Genomic DNA, 7,969 nt, shown 5'->3' with positions numbered 1-7,969 from the left:
ACCTGTTAAAATTCTGGCTCTTTGGCTCTATATATTAGGATTTCTATAATAAATTGAAAATGAAATAAAGATTTTTCAAATGCTACTGCAAAGCACTACATAAGCATGAGAGCTGCTAAAACAAAACCATCTGGTATTTCTATAAAGGTACCATGTTAGCCAGAGGAAAGTTAGTGACCTAGATTGAGCATGAGTCAAACCATCAGAAAGGGCAGGAGAGAACGAATCAGAGATGTCCTCACCAAGCTCCCTTCTTTGTTCCCAGGCTTTTTACTCTTAGTGACAGAGACTTCAGACTTCTCTGCAGAGATTACAAAAAAGAGAAAAAGAGTTGGAAAATATAGTGTGATTTAAGAAGTGAAGAAACTTGTGGTCTGCAGAAATACAGTTATATTCATGACTCATCATTTTACAACTTTTTAAATTCCAAATGTAGACGTAATTCATGTTCATTTCACATCATGAAACAATGTATGTTTTTTTTAAATGTAATCTCTCCTTGCCAGTCCTTTCTAATAATAATAGCTTAATGCTATCTCTTATGACTCATCCATATGCATACGTGTGGTTTATTGCTTTTTTAAAACATATAATAATTATTTTGACTCTTAATTTCCAATTTAAAAATATAGCTTAGTCATCTTTCCAAATTAAGATATACTTCTAATTACTTTTAATAACTATTAATACCCAGAATATAATCATACCATATTTAACAATTTCACCATTGGAAAAATTCCAATTATTTTCAGTTATATTGCTGTCAAAAATAATGTGGCAATATTTAAATATTCTGTAAGTATAAGTACTGCTTTAATCTTTTTTTTAAGACATGAGGTCTTGCTATGTTACTCAGGCTGGAGTGCAGTGGCTATTCACAGGTGCTATGATTTTCAAAGACTCTGATAACTTATAATAAAACAGTTATTTTATCTCATGGGCATTTTCATGATATTTGTCAACCTTTTCTTGATTTGCATGACGTTTGCATCTGAGACATTAGGACTATGGTATTGATGCATAGCATGATGTAAAACACATTTTTTTAAAAATTGACTTTATTGAAAAGCCACTAAATGATTATCTTCAACAAAGTGTTTTGAAACTTAATATCTTAAAAAACCTACTACAAAAGCTGTAAGACCAGTACCAATTATAACAAGGGGCTATATTTTTTATTTGTATTTTAAAAAACTGAAACATTAAATCCACTTAACATTTTATAAAGATTTTATTAAGACCTTGGTCTCTTTCGTTTCTGTATTTGATATATGATTTAATATCTTATCATGATGTAATATCTTATGTCAAACATACAAATTAAATATCATATATATCATATCATGTTATTTTATATATATAAATTACATATATAAATTACATCCTCATTTATCATTAAATTGGAATATCTGTCTTGATTTTTTTTTGTTTCAATATTTTCTTACGTTTGAAGATATCACATCAGAGCTGATGAGATTCGGCGAGGAGCTGGACTTTAAAGAGTAATATAAAAATAGTTTGATGACAATTGTACATGAAATCCAAACTAAGAACAATAACTTTATTAGTATTCACCAGAGAGACAGAACCAATAAGATATGTACATACATATATAGACATATTAGAGGTGATTTATTAGGGAAATTGGCTCATGGGATTAGGGAGGCTGAGAAGCTTTACAACAGGCTATCTGCAAGCCAGAGACCCTGGGATGCCAGTAGCATCGCTCAGTCTAACTTTGAAGGCCTCAGGATCAGAGAAGCTGATGGTGTAATATCTAGTCCAAGGCCTAAGAACCTGAGGGCTGCTGGTCAAAGTCCTGGAGTCCAAAGACTGGAGAGCTTGAAGTTCTGATGTCTAGGGGCAAAAGAAGAGTGTCCTAGCTCCTGGAAAGAGAGAAAAAAAATACCGCCTTTCCTCTCCTTTCTCGTTATATCCAGCCCCCATCGAATTGGATGGTGCCCACTCAGATTGAGTGCTGATTTTCCTCACTTAGTTCATGGGTGCACACCCAATATCCTCTGGAAGTAGCCTCACGAACACACCCAGAAATAATAATATACCAGTTCTCCAGGTATTACTTAATCTAGTCAAGTTGACACCTAAAATTAACCATCACAATTACAAAATAAAATATCTAAGAAATAATGGGAAGGACAGGAAATAAAACAAAGGAACGTGGATTTCTGAGGTTTTGAGATGGTTAGGAGTAGAAATTAAATATTAATTATGTGATAACTGTTTCATTTTTAAGCCATGATTCTTTGTAGGTGCTATTTTCATCATCAAATTAAAGAATGAATGTGGAATATGCATACCATAACTAAATATATTTATAATCGAAGTATTTCACAGCTTAATAGAAACTTAATAGAAACAGTCATTTCACCTTATTTTATGGAATGAACCTAAAGAAATTTTAAGCAAGAGTTTCAATTTTATTGTCATTTGAAGCTGTCTTCAGATATTAGTGAAGGAATAGCATGCTGAGAAAAATTAAATATCAAGGGAAATGAAGAGTCCGCCAAACAATTAGCATGACTTAATTATTTCTTCCTTTTAGGACAACCATTAAAGGTCAAGATATTTCAAGCTTAAGTGAGTTAGAATGACCTGTCTCAACTTCTCCACTCTTTTATCTTTTCCTGCAAGAGACAGCAAGGCCACTGAGCATATGGAGACTGCTTGTTTGGAAAACATTTGAAATACATTTTAATTTGTAAATCCAAACACAACAGTAAAGTCAGTCCACTTTGTTTCTGGCTTCACATCACTTCTGCCGTGAGCTGCACTGTGTGCTATCAAATAAGTAAACATTTCTCACTTGGGGCAGAACTCTGAAGCCAAATTAGACTGAAGCCAAGTGCTATTAAATGATAATTTGCGTGAACAAGACTAGCATAATTTATCTCTTCAAACTTGAACAATTTAAAATATAACATTTAAATATTGCTATTATCATAAATATTTAAAAGATTTAAAAGATTCTTAGACGTCTTCAACAATGTATCTGGACAATGAGTAGAGGGCAGTAAGGCTTCATTCCCTGGCTCTGATATTTTGATCCAGCCAAGCCAGAGTTAGTATTTGTCCAGCTGCTGGAGTTCCCCAGTGGTGCTTTGATTGGAGGGACTTTAACTTCTATGGCATTTTAAAAAGGTAGCTGATACTTTCTTATATGACTAGCATGACTAAATATAGAACAATAACAACAAAGACTCATGATACTGACTAATTTCTTCACTTGTGAACCAAATATGCCCCAAGACAAAAAAAAAAAAAAAAAAAAGGACTGAATTGGGAGTGTAGCTAATAATCAAATTGATTAAAGGATAATTATAGAGCTTCCCTATCTGAAAGCTATGAATCACATATGACCAAAATTTTACATTCATTTTTTTAAAATTAAAAATTCTGCTTCTCAGTCATAAAAGCCACAATTCAAGCTCTCAGCAATATGTGACTAGTTATCACAGTACCGGACCGTGCAGACATAGAGCATGTCTTGCAAATAGGAAAATTCTATTGGACAGTGTTGCTACACAGAATGAGTACATTGCCCAGTGATTTGTTCTTTCTTTTTAATTTTATTATTATTATACTTTAAGTTTTAGGGTACATGTGCACAACGTGCAGGTTTGTTACATATGTATACATGTGCCATGTTGGTGTGCTGCACCCATTAACTCGTCATTTAGCATTAGGTATATCTCCTAATGCTATCCCTCCCCCCTTCCCCCACCCTTGCAATGCTGTGCTTTGCTAGAAATGCTACAGATTCAGGGTGATGGATCATATTGCACTCATGCCCTACTGAGCATTTCAAAGTCATGTTCTGGTGCCAGAATCAAATCTTTAAATTCAACCATCTATTCCAAATTACCATTCTCATAGCATTTCCTAACTAGGAAATTTGTGTGTACTTATAGGTAGTTAATTTTTTAATTCTATTAATTTAACTGTGTGCCTTGTGTTTTCAGGTCTAAAATTAAAGATTTTGCCTTTATGCACATATTCATTTGGGCTCTAGAAGCTTCAAAGAAGTATGGCTTTGCATTATATTTATTGCCAATCATCGATTTTTGGCTTTGGAAATTTTATTAACACATCATTTGACATCTGTTTGGACATGCATCAGTCGTATACATAATAGAGTATGTATAAGGTTTAATTTGTAAGACATCACTGCTTATTTTGTGACTCTGTCCACAACTTTAAATATAGTTTTTCTTATTTTTAAAATTATAAACAATACTGATAGTAGTTTTTTTGAGAAATACAAAAACATTGCTTTTCCACTAGTTGAATAAAAGTATAAAATCTTTTAATATTCTGTCTTAAGTCGAAAAATAAAACTTACGTTAGATATCAAATGTGAACCAACATTAAACAAGAAATATTTGGGTCTTATTCATATTATGAAAAAAAAGAGGCATTATTGATTCTTAGGCTTAGAGGAATAAAGTTGTGCAATTAGTTATGATACAATACTTTTAAATATTAAGAATATGTATTTATTTTCATATTTGATTTTTAATACTTTTAATTATTCATTTATTTAAAAATATGTTTTAAACATCTACTTGAGCATAAATGTTAACATCTGACTGAAAGATTTGATAGACTGAAGTAAATTTTTACAATTATGACATTATATGCATTCAGATTATATAACTCCATACATATGTGCATGATGAATTATAAAAGTATTTTGTAAAAGTCCTTCAAGGTCATTCACAATGCATATACAACAATTAATGAGGAAACAAATTCCACAAAGGCAAAGTGAAAAAAAGAATTACCTGTTGCCAGCTAAAGACAATTCCTGTTACTTTTTTGATGTGTGGTTTTATAGGTGTCTATCACATACTTACGTATACATATGTAAATATATATTTTTGTGTATTTAAAAATTTATTTAAAACATTTTAAGGCTGGGCGCGCGGTGGTTCATGCCTGTAATCCCAGCACTTTGGGAGGCCGAGGTGGGTGGATTACGAGGTCAGGAGATAGAGACCATCATGGCTAGCACAGTGAAACCCCATCTCTACTAAAAATACAAAAAATTAGCCGGGCTTTGTGGCCAGCGCCTGTAGTCCCAGCTACTTGGGAGGCTGAGGCAGGAGAATGGCGTGAACCCGGGAGGCGGAGCTTGCAGTGAGCCAAGATTGCACCACTGCACTCCAGCCTGGGCAACAGAGTGAGACTCCATCTCAAAAACAAAAAAAAAAATTAAAATGAGATTATATTTTATACATTTTATTTTGTATATATACTTTGTCTGTTTGTAATCATTGTGTCTCATGTAATGTCTTTTAAACATGCTTGGTTCTATTATCAACCTTCTATAACAGCATTCCAAATAGATATATGTTCTTCCATATACGATAAACAGCCAAGGACATCAGTTTACACCTTTATTAAGGTGTGTCTATTTGAAAACAGCAGAAAGATATGTTTTCGAGGAAATCAGAAACTTAAAGATTTTATAGAACATTGTCCAAGGTCAGTCAAAGTTGCACTAATCTTGGAACAGGGTGTTGGGGCAGTAAGACTGTGGTCACAGTGTACCAGCCACTGACTGGTCATTTTGGGTTTAAAAAAGGAGTACAAAAGAACAGCTGGGGAATAAGGTCTTGCAAGAATCACAGTGGAACATTTTTAGTCCTTAAGGATCTTTCAGAATGCATATACTATAATTCATTTAATAAAAAAGTTACTCTTAGGGATATTATTTTTCTCATTTAATAAATTAAAGCCCTTTAGTTGAGCTTTTCTAGCTAAGTCTTTGGACCCTCTACATATTTTTCTTAGGCCTTTATAATAAAGATCAATATTTATAATAATGGAACCTGGATCAAACAAGTGTATTAGGTACATTTAATTATGTATTAGGTGCCTATGGTTATATTTTTTGCACATAAGGTAATAGCTTCTTTCTTGCTTATTAAGTTTGCTTAAACTGATCCTCTGATTATCTGCATTTCTCAAAAATCCCTGAATACTTTCTAGTGTTATTGCTGGTAAGGCAATGATGGGAATGGGTATTTGGACATGCCTCATTATATGTTCCTCCCTTTGAATTTCAGGCGCTACTGACCAGCATTGACATTAAAACAGAGACCTTAAGACTGACAAAACCAACTCTTTGTAGCATTAAGATATCAACATGAAAAGTAGCACGCCCTGAAAAAAATCGAAATATTTTATCCCAAAATGTTTCTATGACATGCAAAGCTATTTCTTATATGGGAAAATCTACATTCTGTAGAGAATCCCCTTCCCTTTCCAGCTCTTTTCCCTAATTCAGGAGAGAATTAACTAAGAGTTGGGTACATTTTTAACTATGATAAGAAACATTTACAATCTATTCTCTCTGAAGTCTGCTACCTGGAAGCTTTATCTGCATAATAAGAACCTTGGTCTCCACAACCCCTTATCTTAACCCAGCTACTCTATTCCATTGATTCCAGGTCTCAAGATAAATTCTTTCAACCAATGGCCAATCAGAAAAACTTTGAGTCCATTTATGACCTGGAAGCACCTTCTTTGAGTCATCCTGTCTTTCCAGACCAAACTAATATACATCTTACATGTATTGATTGATATCTTATGTCTTCCAAAAAAGTGTAAAACCAAGCTATAGCCTGACTACCTTTGGCACATGTTCTCAGGATGCCCTGGGGCTGGGTTATCGGCCATGGTCACTCACATTTGGCTCAGAATACATTTCTGTAACTATTTTACAGTTTGACTCTTTTCGTCAATAATATTCCTCCCTGTAGTTGTTACCTGGATCACAGATATAGTGTGTCCTGAATTGGTGGCTTCTGGTCTCGCTGACTTCAAGAATGAAGCCACGGACCCTCGCAGTGAGTGTTACAGTTCTTAAAGATGGTCTGTCCGGAATTTGTTCCTTCAGATGTTCAGATGCGTCTGGAGTTTCTTCCTTCTGCTGGGTTCGTGGTCTTGCTGACTTCAGGAGTGAAGCTGCAGACCTTTGTGGTGAGTGTTACAGCTCTTAAAGGTGGCACATCTGGAATTGTTCATTCCTTCTGGAAAGTTCGTGGTCTTGCTGGCCTCAGGAGTGAAGCTGCAGACCTTCACAGTGAGTGTTACAGGGAAAAGGCGGCACAGGCCCAAAGATTGAGCAGCAGCAGCAGGATTTATTGCTGAGCGAAAGAACAAATATTCCACAGCATGGAAGGAGACCCTACCGGCTTTCCACTGCTGGCTCAGGTGGCCTGCTTTTATTCCCTTATCTGGCCCCAGCCACATCCTGCTGATTGGTCCATTTTACAGAGAGCTGATTGGTCCATTTTACAGAGCGCTGATTGGTCCATTTTGACAGAGTGCTGATTGGTGCGTTTACAATTCTTTAGCTAGACAGAAAAGTTCTCCAAGTCCCCAGCTAGACAGGGAGTGCTGATTGGCAAGTTTACAAACCTTTAGCTAGATGCAGAGTGCTGATTGGTGCATTTACAATCCTTTAGCTAGACAGAAAAGTTCTCCAAGTCCCCTACCCAATTAGCTAGACACAGAGCACTGATTGGTGCATTTAGAAACCTTTAGCTAGACACAGAGCGCTGATTGGTGCATTTACAATCCTTTAGCTAGACAGAAAAGTTATCCAAGTCCCCACCCGACCCAGAAGCCCAGCCAGCTTCACCTTTCAATAAGTTAATAATGAATATTATGCATTTAATTTAAAATTCTAGCAGACATTATTGGCTAGTGTAACTGCTCAATGGGTTCACCTTGCCCACTGCCTAGACAGAGCCTATTTATGAAGACAGGGGAATTGCAATAGAGAAAGAGTAATTCATGCAGAGCCAGCCGTATGGGAGACTGGGGTTGTGTTATTACTCCAATCAGTCTCCCTGAGTATTCAGAAATCAGAATTTTTAAGGATAATTTGGTGGATAGGGTAAGGCCAGTGAGTCAAGAGTGCTGCTGATTGGTTGGGTCA

At 35.3% G+C, this 7,969-nt stretch overlaps 1 annotated feature.

Moving 5' to 3' along the window:
* Positions 6,485–7,684: an enhancer, noted in NCBI's record as "BRD4-independent group 4 enhancer chr8:84722970-84724169 (GRCh37/hg19 assembly coordinates)". NCBI's record gives its function as "activates an origin of replication core promoter dependent on BRD2, P300/CBP, MED14 and CDK7 cofactors, and independent of BRD4, by STARR-seq in HCT116 cells {active_cell/tissue: HCT116}" and the evidence as "EXISTENCE:reporter gene assay evidence [ECO:0000049][PMID:35650434]".

This window comes from Homo sapiens, chromosome 8, assembly GCF_000001405.40.
Source record: "Homo sapiens chromosome 8, GRCh38.p14 Primary Assembly".
Taxonomy (NCBI): domain Eukaryota; kingdom Metazoa; phylum Chordata; class Mammalia; order Primates; family Hominidae; genus Homo; species Homo sapiens.
The sequence above is the reverse complement of the archived record's forward strand: the minus strand, read 5'-3'. Positions and strand labels throughout refer to the sequence as shown.